The following is a 19,489-nucleotide window of genomic DNA, read 5'->3' on the forward strand; positions in this document are numbered from 1 at the left end:
CTTGAACCCAGGAGGCAGAGGTTGCAATGAGCTGAGAACGTGCCGCTGCACTCCAGCCTGGGTGACAAGAGTGAAATTTGGCTCCAAAAAAAAAAAAAAAAATCTATTTCAAAAGAGATACATTCTAGAATATAAATCAAATTCACTCAAAATAAATATACAGATGTATTTCTGGACAGCAGTTTTTATTTTAACTGAAAACAGGCTTCTTGACTTGAAAAGGTACTGATTGGTTTATAAGCACACAGAACTCCCTGCTAATACAAGCTCTCAGAAATGTCCCTTTAGTTCAAAATAATTGAGATTATAAAGTCAAAATTTTTTCTTACAGTGTTAACAAAATATATTCTTGTTTGATAACATGGGAATGAACTCTTTTTCTGTTAATGCTAAAGCTAGGCTGCTGTTTTGATACAGCTACTTGTTCAATATATCAATAGCTCTATCTTTCTTAGTAAGAAAATATAAACATTTAATGAAACATTTCCTTAAGATTTTCTGGGGCCAGGCGCAGTGGCTCACACCGGTAATCCCAGCAATTTGGGAGGCCAAGGCGGGTGAATCACTTGAGCTCAGGAGTTCAAGACCAGCCTGGGCAACACAGTGAAACCCCATCTCTACCAAAAATACAAAAAATTAGGCACGGTAGTGTGCACCTATGGTCCCAACTACTTGGGAGGCTGAGGCAGGAGGACCACTTGAGCCCGGGAGGCGGAGGTTGCAGTGAGCTAAAATCACCCCACTGCACTCCAACCTGGGCAACAGAGCCAGACCCCATCTCAAAACAAAGATTTTCTGATTCTGAATATTCATTTTTTTCTAAAAAGCTGGAACTTCAAGAAATGTCAAATGTAGATCACATCTGAGTCATCATCTAAACTTATTTTTTTAATTTTATACTAATTTCATTATCAAAGAACTTAACATTTTTGGTTCATGATCATCTTCCCAGTACCACAGCCATAATGGATTATTTTAACGATTGATTGATTGGACTTTTTCAGTGCAAGCTGATGGTGTGTGCATTTGGTCACAATGACATTTCAGACTTAGGCCTCTTCTTTTACCACAGTTCTTTTCTCTGAAGCTTCCCTTGTACCCCATACAGAAGTATTTGCTCCAGTTGCTGGAACCCAGTACTCTACTTAAATTCCTTCATGGGTCTAGATTTATTCAAACTTGTATTAGAGCTGCTTAATTATCTGCCTTCAGGCTAGACTGTGAGCTCCTTAAGGGCAAGGGAGTTAGCAATGTGTGTGTATATCCCACCATGCTTTGGACCTAGTAGATGTGGAGTAAATGTCTGAAATAATAAACATGTGGGCCAGACACAGTGGCTCACGCCTGTAATCCCAGCACTTTGGGAGGCCAAAGCTGGTGGATCACTTTAAGTCAGGAGTTCAATACCAGCCTGGGCAACATGGTAAAACCCTGTCTTTACTAAAAATATAAAAAAAAAAAAAAATTATCTGAGCATGGTGGCACGCGCCTGTAATCCCAGCTACTCAGGAGGCTGAGGCAGTAGAATCATTTGAACCTGCAAAGTGGAGGCTGCAGTGAGATGAGATCATGCCACTGCACTCCAGCCTGGGTGACAGAGCGAGACTCCGTCTCAAAAAAAAAAAAATTCAAAAATCAAAATGCTCAGGGACCATTTCCTTTGAGCATTATGTTTCTAATTTGGGGGTTTTTCGGATTAAGGATACTCAACCTGTAGTTAAATGAATTGTAACATCTCCTTATTGTGGATTTTTCTTTTTTTTGAGATGGAGTCTCGCCCTGTTGCCCAGGTTGGAGTGCAGTGGTGCAATCTTAGCTCACTGCAACCTCCAACTCCCGAATTCAAGCGATTTTCGTGCCTCAGCCTCCTGAATAGTAGGGACTACAGGTGCGCACCACCATGCCTGGCTAATTTTTGTATTTTTAGTAAAGACAGGGTTTCCCTATTTGGGCCAGGCTAGTTTTGAACTCCTGACCTCAGGTGATCCACCTGTCTCAGCCTCCCAAAAGTGCTGGGATTACAGGTGTGGGCAACTGCACCCAGCCTATTGTGGAATATTAAGTATATTTTAACAAATGAGACATCTTCCCGTATGTCCTATAGCGATGTCCATGGTAATAAGTGGAGGAGGGGTAGAGACGGAAGAGGGAATAAAACTACGGAGGAATGTATTATGGTGTGATCCCATTTTTGTCACTTTTTTGGAGGAAAAACCCTAAATATGTGTGTACAGGTTTATATACGGTTGAAAGAGCATAGAAATTCTGTGGAAAAATACACATGTAACCTACACAAGCATATTACAACCAGCATGATTAGTTTTGAAATAAAGTTTTCAGCCAGTCACGGAGGCTCACACCTGCAATCCCAGCACTTTGGGAGGCAGAGGTAGGCAGATTACCTGAGGTCAGGAGTTCGAGACCAGCCTGGCCAATGTGGTGAAACCCCATCTCTACTGAAAATATAAAAATTAGGCCAGGCGCAGTGCCTCATGCCTATAATCCCATCCTTCTGGGATGCCAAGGCTGGTGGATCACTTGAGGACAGGAGTTCAAGACCAGCCTGGCCAACATGATGAAACCCCATATCCACTAAAACACAAAAAATCAGCTGGATGTGGTGGCGGGCACCTGTAATCCCAGGTACTTGGGAGGCTGAGGCAGGAGAATCACTTGAACCAGGGAGGTGGAGGTTGCAGTGAGCCAAGATTGCGCCATCGCACTCCAGCCTGGGCAACAAGAGCAAAACTAGCGAAATCTGTCTCAAAAAAAAAAAAAATACAAAAATTAGCTGGGCATGGTGGTGGTGCCACCTGTAATCCCAGCTACTCAGGAGGCTGAGGCAGGAGAATCGCTTGAGCCTGAAAGGCAGAGGTTGCAGTGAGTCGAGAGCACGCCACTGCACTCCAACCTGGGTGACAGAGTGAGACTCTGTCTCTAAATAAATAAATAAATAAATAAATAAATAAAGTTTTCAAAAGCACATGAAAATACTAATTTAATAAGCTTTTTGGAAAATTTAAAGTGAAACTGCATTTTTATACTCATTCAGATTCACTTTCAAAGATCTCTTCTGCCCTGCCCTTTAGAAATTGTGAGAGGCTTCCCTGGGTCTTGGAAGTTGAAATCTTGAACTTTTTCCCTAGCATGACCAGTGCTGTTGCCAAAATGCCGGGGATTTGGTGTAGGTCCTGCCGCTTGCTGCACAGAAAGCCAATCAGTAGTGCCAGGGAAGAAGGCTTTAATTGGGTGCTCCAGCCAAGGAGATGGGAGATCAGTTTCAAATTCGTCTCCCTGACCAACTAAAATTAGAGGTTTATACAGGAAGGAAGAAATGTAACTACATGCAGTAAGACAGGAATTAGGGAGGGGTAAGGAAGAGGAGTTGATCAACAGGCAGCAGGTGGTCTGTTAGGCCATTATGACAGATGAGGGGTCCCGCATCTCCTTGTCCAAATGCAGTGATCTGGTAAGTTTCAGTTCCTTGATACCATCTGGGAGGCCTGATGGTTGATTTCCTGAGAAAGGAACTCAGATAAGGCAAATGTCACTTTCTCAAATTTCAAGACTGGAAAGGTCAATTTGTTTCTCTTTTCGCTTTTGCTTTTGCTTTTGTTTTGTTTTGAGACAGGGTCTCACTATGTTGCCCAGGCTGAAGTGCAGTGGCTGTTCACAGGCGTGATGCCACTACTCATCAGCATGGGAGTTTTGACCTGCTCAGTCTCTGACCTGAGCTGGTTAACCCCTCCTTAAGCAACCTGGTGGTCCCCCACTCCCAGGAAGTGGATGCTAAATTTAGTGCAGACACCTGACTGGCATAGCACACTACAGCCCAGAACTCCTGGGCTCAAGGGATCCTCCCACCTCAGCCTCCCAAGTAGCTGGGAATACAGGCACACTCCACCACACCAGGCTAGAAGGATCAATTTCTATGTTTATTCAAAAGAAACCATAAACATCTGCTCTGTGAAAGAACTGAGTCAGTTTCAGTACCTTAGCAGGTGACACAGACTCTGTTGTGAGAACGGAAAGCCCAGGAAAGAATTGCAGATTACTGGTTTCAAGCTGTCTTATACCTACACCTCAGGCACTAGGAGCCATGGAGAGTTCGCAAGAAGTGATGAGGAGATTTAAAAAGAAAAGGCAGAAGAGATGGAGAGTGGATGGAAAGCTCCCAATAAAGAGAGGCTGGCCGGGCATGGTGGCTCATGCCTATAATCCCAGCATTTTCGAAGGCTGAGGCAGGCGGATCACCCAAGGTCAGGAGTTCGAGGCCAGCCTGGCCAAAACGGTGAAATCCCTTCTCTACTAAAAATACAAAAAATTAGCTGGGAGTGGTGGTAGGTACCTGTAATCCCAGCTACTAGGGAGACTGAGGCAGGAGAATCACATGAACCCAGGAGGCACAGGTTGCAGTGAGCCGAGATCGCACCACTGCACTCCAGCCTGAGCGACAGAGTGAGACGAGAGAGAGAGAATAGGAATGTTTTGAGCAGAGCAGTTACTTCTTGCTGCAGTTCCTTTTCCCCAGAACAGTCAAAATGTGCTGGCCCTTACTTTTCTTCATGTCCCTCTCCTCCTAGGCTGGGATCCAGCAGCCCCAGGACTTCGTGCCACTAAAATAACTGCCGCATTTTTTTTTGTCCTTGAGTTTCATGGCATGGATCGCAGATTTCAGCTTTGAATCTTTGAATGTTTTGAATGTTTCAGCTTTCAAATGTTTTGCTTTTCTCCAAATAGCCTAGGCTATAGTGAACCATAGAAGGGCAAATGAGCAAGCCATCATCCCCAAACATTTCTAAATCAATCCATTTTCCATCATGACTCAGTACATGTATACATCTGTAACAGAGTGCAGTGGCGCAATCATAGCTCTCTGCAGCCTAGAACTCTTAGGTTCAATCAATCCTCCTGCCTCAGCCTCCAGAGTTGCTGGAACTACAGGCTTGTGCCACCACGCCTAGCTAATTATTTTAATTTTTTATAGGGACAGGGTCTTGCTATGTTGCCCAAACTTAATCTACTATTTTGTTTGTTTGTTTGAGACAGAGTCTCGCTCTGTTGCCCAGGCTGGAGTGCAGTGGGACGATCTCTCCTCACTGCAATCTCCGCCTCCTGGGTTCAAGCGATTCTCCTGCCTCAGCCTCCCAAGTAGCTGAGATTACAGGCGCCCCCTGCCATGCCCGGCTAATTTTTTTTTTTTTTTTTTTAGTAGAGACGGGGTTTCACCACAGTGGCCACGCTGGTCTCGAACCCTTGAACCCAGGTGATCCACCCCCCTCAGCCTCCCAAAGTGCTAGGATTACAGGCGTGAGCCACTGTGCACGGCCTTAATCTACTATTTTTTGTGGCAATAATTAGATGCTTAATTCTCTAAGTAAAAATTAAATTCAATTCCAAGGTTTGCAAAGCATGCTAAGTATACCCAAACATCTTCAGAGAAACTATGCTGAGCAATTTCTTTACCGTATTTTGCCCAAACACAGTAATGAATACAGCTGAATATTCCCTGCATGTTTTGCTAATTTCATACTTTCCGTCAGTACACAGAACATGGCAACTGTGTGTCTCAAGTGTTTTTCAGACATCATCTGACTTACCGTAACTGTCTGCATAGTAGACCTGGTATTATGCATCTTACACAGATGGAGAATTTGAAGTTAAATACGGGCCCAGGTGCACAATTACATTTCAGGGCCCAGAATTTAGGTATAAATGTTGGACTTAAAGAGTGCTGTTTTATTTTTAGAACACTAATTCAGTAAATAAAGCAGCAGACATGGGCTTATGATTCATTCACCTTATTTGTGAAAAGAAAAACCTAATAACCTCAGCTTCTTTGTCAAGTGGTTTAGCAAGTCACATAAAGAGAAAAGGAAAGCGCTGGGTGCGGTGGCTCATGCCTGTGATCTCAGCACTTGGGAGGCTGAGGCAGGCATATCACTTGAGGTCAGGAGTTCGAGACCAGCCTTGCCAACATGGTGAAATGTCGTCTCTACTAAAAATACAAAAATTAGCCAGGCGTGCTGGCAGGCGCCTGTAATCCCAGCTACTTGGGAGGCTGAGGCAAGAGAATCGCTTGAACCTGAGAGGTGGAGGTTGGAGTGAGCCAAGATTTTATCACTGCACTCCAGCCTCGGTAACAAAGCAAGACTCGGTCTCAATTAAAAAAAAAAAATTTAAAAATAATTATTTTTAAAAAAAGAAAAGAAGCGGGAAAAAATTAAATGAGACCGTAAAAGTTACTAAAAATTAGCCCAAACCTTTTAACAAAAGAAGCTTTGAGGCCAGGCGGTGGCTCAGGCCTGTAATCCCAGCAAGTTGGGAGGCCAAGGCGGGCGGATCACCTGAGGTCAGGAGTTCGAGACCAGCCTGACCAACATGGAGAAACCCTGTCTCTACCAAAAATACAAAATTAGCTGGGCATGGTGGCGCATGCCTGTAATTCCAGCTACTCGGGAACCTGCTCTGCTCACTGCAACCTGCTCTGCTCACTGCAACCTCTGCCTCCCGGGTTCAAGTGATTCTCCCGCCTTAGCCTCCTGAGTAGCTGGGATTACAGGTGCCTGCCACCACGCCCGGCTAATTTTTGTGTGTTTAGTAGAGACCGTGTTTCGCCCTGTTGCACAGGCTGGTCTCGAACTCCTGACCTCAAGTGATCTGCCCGCCTCAGCCTCCCAAAGTGCTACGATTGCAGGTGTGAGCCACTGCGGCTGACCAGTCCAGAGTCTATTTGTAACAGAGTTGGAAAGACAGGAATTTAAACCTTACTAGTTGTGTAAAGTTGGTATGCAGCAGGCACATTTTAGGGTATCTGCCCAGCCCACGATTCTTCCATTTCTTCTCTAGAATCTCTGTCTCTCAACACAAGGGGGAAGAAAGAGAGAGACAGACAGACAGACACTTATGCAACCACATAAAACGAATAACCTTTGCTAAGAAGATACAATTGTCTAAGGAGTTTAGAATATGGACAGAACAATAATCATGGATTTTCGCAGATGGCTGAACCTGTCTTCTGTGACTCCAGGAGTTGTGGGGCAGCCATGCTTCTCTACAAGGATACAGATGCCAAGAGAAAGAACACATTCTGCACGTGGAGAAAAAGAGGACTCTGGGGTCTGTTACCTGAGTTTCCAGCTCTCTCCTGAGCCAGGTTCAGCACCTTCCTCTGTCTCGTAGCAAATCAGCCCCTGGATTCAGTGAGATATCCTGAGAGCCTACAACTAACTTTGGCTGCCCACCTGTATTCTTTTTCTTATTTGTTATTATTATTTTAATTTATTTAGAGACAGAGTCTTGCTCTGTCGCCCAGGCTGGGGTGCAATGGCGTGATCTCGGCTCACTGCAATCTCCACCTACCCGGTTCAAGCAATTCTCCTGCCTCAGCTTCCTGAGTAGCTGGGACTACAGGGGCCCGTCACCACGCCTGGCTAATTTTTGTATTTTTAGTAGAGACAGGGTTTCACCATGTTGGCCTGGTTGGTCTCAAACTCCTGACTTCAGGTGACCCGCCTGCCTTAGCCTTCCAAAGTGCTGGGATTACAGGCATGAGCCACTGCGTCTGGCCTAATTTTAGTATTTTTAGTAGAGATGGGGTTTTGCCATGTTTCCCAGGCTGGTCTCAAACTCCTGACCTCAAGCAATCCACCCACCTTGGCCTCCCAAAGTACTAGGATTACAGGTGTGAGCCACTGTGTCCAGCCCCACCTAACAAATCATAAAAGCAAGGATCAAAATGTTTCCAAGTTACTTAGCTGTATTCCACAAGAAATGTCATGAATATAGGATTACAAAAAATCCGGCATTTAGGCCGGGCACGGTGGCTCACGCTTGTAATCCCAGCACTTTGGGAGGCCCAGGCGGGTGGATCATGAGGTCAGGAGATCGAGACCATCCTGGCTAACACGGTGAAACCCCGTCTCTACTAAAAATACAAAAAATTAGCCGGGCGTGGTGGCGGGGGCCTGTAGTCCCAGCTACTCGGGAGGCTGAGGCAGGAGAATGGCGTGAACCTGGGAGGCGGAGCTTACAGTGAGCCGAGATCGTGCCACTGCACTCCAGCCTGGGCAACAGAGCAAGACACCGTCTCAAAAAAAACAAACCCGGCATTCAATAAGATAAAATGTACAATGTCTTGCAGCCAATCAAAGAATAGAAAGCTTGCAAAGAAGCAGGAAAACAGAACCCATCATGAGAAGAAAAGCCAGTCAATTGAAAATGACCCAGAACTGACAAATATATTCAAATTAGCAGATGGGGACTTTAAAATATTTATTATAATTATATTCTTTTTATTGTTGTTGTTGTTGTTGTTGTTGTTGTTGCTGTTTCTGAGACAGACTCTTGCTCTGTCTCCCAGGCTGGAGTGCAGTGGCACGATCTCAGCTCCCTGCAGCCTCCACTTCTCAGATTCAAGCAATTCTCCTGCCTCAGCCTCCTAAATAGCTGGGACTACAGGCACCCCACCACACCCAGTTAATTTTTTCTATTTTCAGAAGAGAAGGGGTTTTGCCATGTTGGCCAGGCTGGTCTCAAACTCCTGGTCCCAAGTGATCCACCTACTTCGGTCTCCCAAAGTGCTGAGATTACAGACAAGAGCCACCACGCCTGGCATTTTTTCCTTTTTTCCTTTTTTTGAGACAGGGTCTCACTCTGTTACCCAGGCTGGAGTGCAGTGGCGTGATCGTGGCTCACTGCAACCTCCACCTCCCTGGGCTCAAGCAATCCTCCCACCTCACCCCCATAAGGGACTACAGTGGGACTACAGGTACATGCCACCATGCCTGGTTATTTTTTGTATTATTTTGTAGACACGCAGTCTTGCCCCGTTACCCAGGCTGGTCTTGAACTCCTGGCCTCAAGTGATCCACCTGCCTGAGCCTCCCAAAGTGCTGGGATTACAGACATGAGCCACCATGCCCGGCCTATATTCTTTAAGTTCAAAATGTTAAGTAGAGACATGGGAGATATTTTGTTAAGACTCTAGAGATAAAAACTACAATGTTTAAGATGAAAAATACAATGGATGAGATTAATGGCAGATTAAACACGGCAGAAGAAAAGAGCAATACATATACTTGAAGATTTAGCAAGAGAAATTATCCAAAATAAAACACACAGATTAAAAAAAAGAATTTTAAAAAGCTAAGAGGCCGGGCATGGTGGCTCATGCTTGTAATCCCAGTAGTTTGGGTGGCCAAGGCAGGTGGATCACCTGAGGTCAGGAGATTGAGATCAACCTGGCAAACATGGTGAAACCCCATCTCTACTAAAAGTACAAAAATTAGCCGGGTGTGGTGGTGTGTGCCTGTAATCCCAGCTACCTGGGAGGCTGAGGCAGGAGAATTGCTCGAACCCGGGAGGCAGAGGTTGCAGTGAGCCGAGATTGCACCATTGCACTCCAGCCTGGGTGACAGAGCGAAACTCCATCTCAAAAAAACAAACACGAGGCCAGGCGCGGTGGCTCACGCCTGTAATCCCAGCACTTTGGGAGGCCGAGGCGGGCAGATCACGAGGTCAGGAGATTGAGACCATCCTGGCTAACACGGTGAAACCCCATCTCTACTAAAAATACAAAAAAATTAGCCAGGCATGGTGGCAGGCGCCTGTAGTCCCAGCTACTTGGGAGGCTGAGGCAGCAGAATTGCTTGAACCCAGGAGGCAGAGCTTGCTATGAACCGAGATCTTATCACTGCACTCCAGCCTGGGCGACAGAGTGAAACTGTCTCAAAAAAACAAAACCAAAAACAAAAAAACACCTGAAAACAATGTATTGTGAAGTTTATAGCATATGTAAAAGTAAAATATAGGGCAGCAATCACATCAAAGTTGAGGGAGGAGAAATGAAAGTACACTATTGAAAGGTTCTTATCCTCTATGTGAAGTTGTATAATGTCACTTGATGTATTCAATAAACCCTGAAGCAACCACTAGAACTTTTTTAAAGTTTTAGAGCTAATGAGTCAATGAAGGAGGCTGAAATAGGATTATTCAAAAATACTCATTAGGCCAAAAGAAGGCAGAAAAAATGAAAAAAAAAAATAAAGGAACAAAGAGTGGATAAGACAGATAGACAACACATAGCAATAGTATAGATATAAACCTAACTAAATTATCACATTAAATGTAAATTGCTCTAAGCCAGGTTTGCTGGCTCAGGCCTGTAATTCCAGCATTTTGGGAGGCCAAGGCGGGCAGATCACTTGAGGTCAGGAGTCCAGGACCAGCCTGGGAAACATGGTGAAATCCTGTCTTTACTAAAAATACAAAAATTAGCTGGGTGTGGTTGTGCACGCCTGTAATCCCAGCTACTCAGGTGGCTGAGGTGGGAGAATAGCTTGAACCAGGAAGGCAAAGTTTGCAGTGAGCCAAGATTGCACCACTGTACTCTAGCCTGAGCCACAGAGCAAGACTACATCTCAAAAAAAAAAAAAAAAAAAAAAAGTAAATTGCTCTAAATATCTCAAAAGGCAGAAGTAGTTAGACTGGTTAAAAAGAAATCAAAACCTAAAAAAAAAAAAACAAAAAAAAACAAGACCTAATGATATGCTGCTATTAAATTGTACTTAAATATGAATAAATGAAGAGATATACTTTTTATAATAAGCAATTTGAAAATGTTGTATCATATAACAGTAGCAAAAAAAAAATCTAAAATGGCTCTATTAATATTGGCAAAGTAGATTTCAGAGCGAAGATTACCAAGAAGGTCTCATTATGATAAAAAGATCAATTAAGCAAGAGGACATAGCAATTCTTTTTTTTTTTTTTTTTTTTTTTTTTTGAGACAGAGTCTCACTCTGGAGTGCAGTGGCGCAATCTCGGCTCACTGCAACCTCCACCTCCTGGGTTCAAGCGATTCTTCTGCCTCAGCCTCCCAAGTAGCTGAGACTACAGGCGCATGTTACCATGCCCAGCTTATTTTTGTATTTTTAGTAGAGACGGGGTTTCACCACATTGGCCAGGCTGGTCTCAAACTCCTGACCTTGTGATCCACCTGCCTCAGCCTCCCAAAATGCTACAATTACAGGTGTGAGCCACTGCACCCGGTCAACACAGCAATTCTTAAATGAGAATATACCTAATCATAGAGCTTTAAAATACATGAGCAAAAACTGACAGATCACAAAGAGAAATCAGCAAATCCACAATTACAGTCAGAAAATTCCATGCCCTTTCTCTTAGTAACTGATAGAATAAGTAGACAGAAAATCAACAAAGACATAGTAGAGTTGAACAATATTAATTTAATCTGATTGGCATTTGTAGACCACATCATCCAACAATAGCAGACTGCATATTATTTTCAGGGGCACAGAGAACATTTGTCGAGATAGACCATATTATGGGCCATAAAAACCCATCACAATAAATTAGAGGGACTGAAGTCATGAGGAGAAGGTATCAGAAATAAGTGAGGTTATATTACTACATATTCAACAGATATTACAAAGGTAATAAAGAAATATTAACAACTTCATGCTTATAAATGCAATCACCTAGATCAAACGGACAAATTCCTTGAAAATCAAAAAGCTCACTCAGGAAAAATTGAGAACCTAAACTGTTTATATCAAAAAAATTAAATTTGTAGTTCAAAAACTTTACACAAAGAAACTGCTAGGCCCAGGTGGCTTTTCTGTTGAATTCTACAGAAATTTAATGAAGAAATAAAATCAATTCTACTCAATCTCAACCAGAAAATTTAACAAGAGGGAATAATTGTCAACTCATTCTATGAATTCAGCATTACTTTAATACCAAAATTAGATGAAGACACTAAAAGAAAATAAAACACAGCTCAGTATTTCTCATGAATATAGATGCAAAAATTTTTAACAAAGTTTAGAAAATTGTGTGATATAAAAAGGATATATCATGACCAAGTGAAGTTTAGCCCAGGAATGCAGGGCTGGTTTAGCATTTGAAAGCCAATCAGTGGAAATTACCATATTTACAGACTAAAAAAGAGAAAACATACCATTATCCCAACAGATGCAGAAAAGCATGTGAACAATTCTAACGTCTATTCTTGATAAAAAGTCACAGCAAATTAGGCCTAGAAGGAAACTTCCTCAACCTGACCAAGAGTATCTACAAAATACCTGTAGTATTTTGCCTCTAGTATTGTATTTAAGAAATCTTTGTCTAACTCAAGGACACAGAGGTTTTTCTCCTTGTTTTCTCTTAGAGGTTTTATAGTTTGGGGTTTTATATTTAGGTCTCTGATCCATTTTGAATTAATTTTTACATATAGGGCTAGGTATGGATCAAACTCCACTTTCCTTTCTCGTTCTCTCTTTCCCTCACCACCTCTGCATATAAATATCCAATTGTTCCAGCATCATTTGTTGAAGAAGCCAGGCCCCCTACCCCCTGGCAAAACAAACAAACAAAAAAAACAAGAGTACATACTGTATGATTGATTCCATTTATGTAAAACTCCAGAAAATGCAAACTAATCTTTAGTGAAAGAAAGCAGATCACTGGATAGGGCAGGGGAGGGGGAATGAAAGGAGGAATTATAAAGGAACACAAAGAAATTTCACTGGTGGGGGTGATGCACCTGTCCACTATCTTGATTAGGGTGATAGTTTCACCAGTGTATACATATGTCAGATGTATCACTTTGCATTTTAAATATGTGCAATTGATTATAGGCCAGTTATATCTCAATAAATTCATTGGTAACAACAACAAAGTTCTCAGTCCAAAGTCTGGGGTCCTCTCCTGGAGTCTGAAGTACTCAGCAAGCCACTTGGCTATTAGCAAGTGGCTTCTTTCTGCATTGAGACATGAGAGAAGTTGTTGCTTGATTGGTGCAGAGTTCTGTGGCTTCCAAATAGGCTGCCCATCATGTTCTCAAAGTGGAGGGAGTGACAGACCTGCTCAGAAAACCTAGGCTCCTGGTTTTGCCTTAGACCTGATAAGCAGAATGTGCCAGAAATCCAAGGGATTTGAGCCTTTGTCACACAGATAATGATGGAAACAACTGGTATATGGGTTTGGAGAAGAGGGAACAGAAGCTCAGTAAGCAGTTTTAACTGACTCTATGCTCCCCATACCAGGACCAGGACATGCCATAACCACCAAAACAGCCCAATTCAATTCAACTTTGTGTAATAAAATGGAGAGTTTTCCGTTGCCATGTACCTCCGGGTTAAAGGTCACATAATCTGAGCATGCCCAGACGAACCAACTGTGCAACCATGAGCAGAACCTAAGTGTCTGGCCCAAGGAATGAGGACTGAATTAAGAAATGGACATCACATGTCAGGATCCAATCAGATGAATCCTTGGCATCACCCCATGGCAGGATCCAGTCAGAGCACACCTCCCGGTATCACCTTATCACCTCATTTCAAGATCCAATCTGATCACACCTCACTACCCTACGCTTATAAAACCTATCCCAGCTCTCAGCTCAGGGAGACAGATCTGAACATTTCTTCCTATGCCCTTACCAGTCGACTTGCTTTTCTTTCCTCAAAAGCTTGTCCCATGGTATTGGCCACTCTGCACATCAGGAAACAAGCCCATTCATTGCCTAGCAACGATGGAAACTACTGGAAAAGATTTATTTCAAATCTTCAGTGATTTCATCTCTGTAAAGGTGTGCTCCCCTGAGTGTGGTAAGGTCCTCATCACTAGAAGTATTCAGTTATGAACTGGACAACCATCCGGTTAGGATTCTTTAGAAATAATTGAAACACTGGTTGGGTGTTTCTGGGATTTTGAAAATCTTTTCAAGCCATTGAAGTCTTTACTTTTCTACTTAAAACCTCTACACGTTTGTGTGCGTGTGGCTACTCACATGGAGGAAGGAGAATTTGCCTCTGAATTAATCCTCCCTTGAGCCTCATCCATATCAGATTTTTTTTTTTTTTTGAGATGGAGTCTTGCTCTGTCACCCAGGCTGGAGTGCAGTGGTACGATCTCAGCTCACTGCAACCTCTGCCTTCCGGGTTCAAGTGATTCTCCTGCCTCAGCCTCCTGAGTAGCTGGGATTACAGGTGTGCACCACCACACCTGGCTAATTTTTGTATTTTTAGTAGAGACGGGGTTTTACCATGTTGGCCCGGCTGGTCTCGATCCCCTAACCTTAGGTGATCCACTTGCCTCGGCCTCCCAGAGTGCTGGGATTACAGGCATGAGCCACTGCACCCGGCCCCATATCTGATTTAGAGGAGAGATGAGATTTTAGACTTCAGACATTTGAGTTGATGCTAGAATGAGTTATTAGGTTGGTGCAAAAGTAATTGAGGTTTTTGCCATTGAAAATAATAGCAAAATCTGCAATTATTTTTGCATCAACCTATAAGACTTTTGGGGCTATTAGGACGGAAGGAATGTATCTTGTAAACCTATTCCCTAATATGATAGTGGGCCTTTGGGAGACAATCACTGATTCACCAGAGAAACTTCCAGTCCTGCAAGCTCCATTCATGGCAAGTGCCCTAGACAGGTGTACCATTTTAATCTTTTTTTCTTTCTTTCTTTTTTGAGAGCAGGTCTCACTCTGTCACCCAGGCTGAGTACAGTGGCATAATCATGGCTCACTGCAGCCTCAGCCTCCCAGGTTCAAGTGACCCTCCCACCTCGGCCTCCTCAGTAGCTGGGACTACAGGTATGCACAAACACGCCCAGCTAATTTTTTTAAATTTTTTTTGTAGAAACAAGGTCTCACTGTGTTGCCTAGGCTGGTCTCAAACTCCTGGGTATCTCAAAGTGCTGGGATTACAAGCATGAGCCACCATGCCTGGCCCATTTTAATCTTTTATACCAAATTTTTACTGGACATTTTCTACGTTTTGTTTTTTGTTTTGTTTGTTTTGGTTTGGTTTGGTTTGGTTTGGTTTGGTTTGGTTTGGTTTGGTTTGGTTTGGTTTTTGTTTTTTGAGACAGTTTTGCTCTTATTGCCCAGGCTGGTATGCAATGGTGTGATCTCAGCTCACTGCAACCTCCGCCTCCCCAGTCCAAGTGATTCTCCTGCCTCAGCCTCCTGAGTAGCTGAGACTAGAGGCGTGCACCACCACACCCGGCTAATTTTGTATTTTTAGTAGACACGGGGTTTCACCATGTTGGTCAGGCTGGTCTCAAATTCCTGACCTCAAGTGATCCACCCACCTTGCCTCCCAAAGTGTTGGGATTACAGGCGTGAGCCACCATGCCTGGACAACATTTTCTATGTTTAGATATGTTTAAATACACAAATATTTACCATTGTGTACAATTGCTTCCAGTGTTCAGTACAGTAACATGCTGTACAGGTTTGTAGCCTAGGAGCAGGAGGCTGTACCAAGCAGCCTGGGTGTGTAGTGTGCCATACATATGATCTATGTTTGTGTAAGTACACCCTGTGATGTTTGCACAATGATGAAATCACCTAACGACCCATTTCTCAGAACATAATCCAGTTGTTAAGTGATGCATGACCCTACTCAATGTGCTGAATACCTCACTCCAAACCATTTCAGAAAATTCAGATATTATCAACCCTCACTGCACTGCCTTCCATTAGAAACATGGGAAGTTGTTTTGGAAAAGATGTAGCTGCCCCTCAACCAGGCCCAGGCGCCTGCTGAGCCTACGACAGAAGTTGCTACCCCTACCCCAGGTGAAAGTACAGCAGGACACTCTTTCCAAGTTTATCATGAGAAACTAAGCAAACCACCATCCGATACCCAACCCAGGCCCCTGTTCTACATAGAAGACAGATAGGAATATTCACTCAGATTGATAAGAAAAGCATCCTGCACATCTCAGGATGGTCAAACCTCCATGATTGCTATGAATCTTGAATGACACCTTCCCCCGGAGAAACAGACAAGAGGAAATGGATTGAAATTGATGATAGGCCGGGCATGGTGGCTCACGCCTGTAATCCCAGCACTTTGGGAGGCAGAGGCAGGAGGAGGATCACTTGAGGTCAGGAGTTCAAGATCACCCTGGCCAACATTGCAAAACCCCATCTCTACTAAAAATACAAAAATTAGCCGGGCGTGGTGGCACATGCCTATAATCCCAGCTACTCAGGAGGCTGAGGCAGGAGAACCGATTGAACCCAGGAGGTGGAGGTTGCAGTGAGCCCAGATGGAGTCACTGCACTCCAACTTGGATGACAGAGCGAGACTGTCTCCAAAAAAAAAAAGAAAAGCAAAGTTGATCATAAAAAGGAACACAATTCTCTTGGTTTTCCTTTAGAAATAACTCAATGCCTTTCAATTAATTTATAGAATCCATCTATTTATGACAAAATAGAGGAGACTCTCTCTCAAGGATGTGCTTCGGTTTCTGTGCAGAAAGGAAAGAGACCAAATCCCTCATTAATGTTTTCACATTTTGTTCTGTGGCAATGATGAGACGATGAGATTCAGAGGCTGTCGGGACTCAAATCAGAAAAACATGAACTAATTCTAGGGCATGTTATTCCATCTAATTTCCATTTGTACCTGAACAAACATGGAACATTTTATCAGCCTGAGAGAGTGAAACCATCAGAGGAAGTTTCCAGAATCAGAGAGAGAAGTGAGTGGCTGCCCAAATCTAAGGGTGGCCGTGGAAGGGCCCTCCTAGGCTGGGGGCTTCTCCTCCCACGGTCCACAAGGACCTCATGACAGCTGGGGCAGCGAGCTGGCTGGCCACCGGCGAGGCTGGAATAGGCATGTTGTACCAACACCTCTGTGCGTGGGCTTCTCGGGTGCCCCCTAAAGCTCAGTCAAAGGACTCTCCCGTCAGCATTGCCTAGCATGACAGTTCAGTGCAAATCTGCCATGCAAGTTTGACTTGTATGTGTTTTGAAGGTTTTTTGTTTGTTTGTTTTTTGTTTCTTTTTGAGATGGAATCTTGCTCTGTCACCCAGGCTGGAGTGCAGCAGCACGATCATGGCTCACTGAAGCCTCAACCTCCCAAACACAAGTGACCCTCCCACTGCATCCTCCCTAGTAGCTTGGACCACAAGAAAGTGCCACCATGCTTGGCTTATTATTTCTTTCTTTTAGGAGATGGGGTCTCACTATGTTGCCCAGTATGGTCTCAAATTCCTGAGCTCAAGTAATCCTTCCTCCTTGGCCTTCCACTGAGATTACAGATGTGAGCCACTGCACCAGGCTGAGAATTCTGCCTTGCAGAAGAGTACTCCAGGCAGGTGCGATGGAAGTTCAGCCCTGCCTGCTAGAATGGGACCTCCCCTGCCTACCTCCTGGCACCCATTTCCCCTTTTCTTTCTTTCTTTATTTCTTTTTTTTTTTTTTGAGGCAGAGTCTCCCTCTGTTTCCCAGGCTGGAGTGCAGTTGTGCGATCTTGGCTCACTGCAACCTCCGCCTCCCAGGTTCAAGCAATTATTCCTGCCTCAGCCTCCCAAGTAGTTGGGATTACAGGCACCTGCCATCACCCCCAGCTAATTTTTGTATTCTTAGTAGAGATGGGGTTTCACCGTGTTGGCCAAGCTGGTCTCAAACTCCTGACCTCAGATGATCTGCCTGCCTCAGCCTCCCAAAGTGCTGGGAATACAGGCGTAAGCCACCGCGCCTGGCCCAGGCACCCACTTTCTTTGGGATTTGTTTTCCAACCCTCTCCTCCTGCTCCAGCTGCTGGTGAGAGTCTGGCTGAAAATGCATGACCCTCAGTGCACAACATCCAGGCCTCTGTCCTCTGAGGCTTCCGTCCTCAGCTGTGTGTGCCCCCTGCCTCGTGGGGCCTGCTCAGATGCTGGGGAGTGGCCAAGCTCTGGCACTGCCATGCCTGCAGACTCCTGGGGGCCAGCCTTGGGTCTGCTTCTGGCTTCTCTCCCCAGCTGCAGGCCCATGTCACGGAGTCCCTCCTGTGGTGCCTCAAAGCCAAGCTTGCAAGAATAGGGTATGTGTGCAATGGCACAGGCACAAGTCACTTCAACCATCAGAATCAGGTGCAAGCATGGAAAGTTATAAGGCCGTTGATTTCCACAGCCCAGGATTGAAACTTCTTTCTTATTTATTTGTTTTTGAGAGGAAGTCTCACTCTGTTGCCCAGGCTGAAGTGCAGTGACACGATCTCGGCTCACAGCAACCTGCACCTCCTGGGTTCAAGCGACTCTCCTGCCTCAGCCTCCTGAGTAGCTGGGATTACAGGTGCCCACCACCACGCCCAGCTAATTTTTGTATTTTTAGTAGAGACGGGGTTTCACCATGTTGGCCAGGCTGGTCTCAAACTCCCGACCTCAGGTGATCCACCTGCCTCGGACTCCCAAAGCGCTGGGATTACAGACGCGAGCCATCACACCTGGCCTGAATCTTCTCTTTTAAAATATCCAGGTATATCTCTTTAGTGAAACAAAAACAATAACCAAAACCAAGACTTCCATGTAAGAAGGGAAGAATGAGAGATGCCAGCCCCTGGCAGAGACGTGGACTGTTTGCACTGGTTTTAATTTAACAACCTCAGAGCACACGTGATTCATCAGAATGCTGGGGGCTGGCCAGGTGCCGTGGCTGATTCCTGTAATCCCAACACTTTGGGAGGCCCAGGTGGGAGGATCATTTGAGGCCAGGAGTTCAAGGCCAGCCTGGGTTAACAAAACAAGACCCCATGTCTACAAAAAATATATAAAATAAAACATAAATTAGCCAGAGGTAGTGGCGTGCACCTGTAGTCCCAGCTTCTTGGAAGGCTGGAGGCAGGAGGATTGCTTGAGCCCAGGAGTTGGAGGTTGCAGTTAACCATGATTGTGCCATGGCACTCCAGCCTGGGTGACAGAGTGAGACCTTGTCTTTAAAAAATTTTAAAAATAGATGGGCACAGTGGCTCACGCCTGTAGTCCCAGCACTTTGGGAGGCCGAGGCGGGTGGATCACCAGGTCAGGAGATCGAGACCATCCTGGCTAACACAGTGAAACCCCATCTCTACTAAAAATACAAAAAATTAGCCGGGCGTGGTGGTGGGCGCCTGTAGTCCCAGCTACTCAGGAGGCTGAGGCAGGAGAATAGCGTGAACCCGGAAGGCCAGAGCTTGCAGTGATCCGAGATTGCACCACTGCACTCCAGCCTGGGCGACAGAGTGAGACTCCATCTCAAAAAAAAAAAATTTTAAAAAATAACTTTTGCTGGGTTATGATGTCTGTCATGTCGCCTCACGTGCCATTGGCCATTGGCAAGTCAAAAAGCCATCCCTTATACCAATGGGATGAGAAGAAAGTACACCACATTCTAGGGGAGGCAGCAGGGATGGCACAAGTGATTAGTCCAGAGAGGGGCAGTGAATATTTGGGACAAATTATCTAAACTACACTACTGCAGGCCGGGCACAGTGGCTCACACCTGTAATCCCAGCCCTTTGGGAGGCCGAGGCAGGAGGCTCACCTGAGGTCAGGAGTTCGAGACCAGCCTGGCCAACATGGCAAAACCTCGTCTCTACTACAAATACAAAAATTAGCTGGGTGTGGTGGTGAGTGCCTATAAACCCAGCTACCTGGGAGGCTGAGGCAGGAGAATTGCTGCAACCTGGGAGCCAA

At 44.7% G+C, this 19,489-nt stretch overlaps 1 pseudogene, besides 1 other annotated feature; it reads right to left on the reverse strand.

The window, feature by feature from the left end:
* Positions 15 to 158: a silencer, noted in NCBI's record as "fragment chr7:72308407-72308549 (GRCh37/hg19 assembly coordinates)". NCBI's record gives its function as "represses an EF-1alpha promoter that drives an FKBP-Casp9 reporter gene in an ReSE screen in K562 erythroleukemia cells {active_cell/tissue: K562}" and the evidence as "EXISTENCE:reporter gene assay evidence [ECO:0000049][PMID:32094911]".
* On the reverse strand, positions 3,624 to 3,914 carry RN7SL625P (RNA, 7SL, cytoplasmic 625, pseudogene; annotated as a pseudogene).

This window comes from Homo sapiens, chromosome 7, assembly GCF_000001405.40.
Source record: "Homo sapiens chromosome 7, GRCh38.p14 Primary Assembly".
Taxonomy (NCBI): Eukaryota; Metazoa; Chordata; class Mammalia; order Primates; family Hominidae; genus Homo; species Homo sapiens.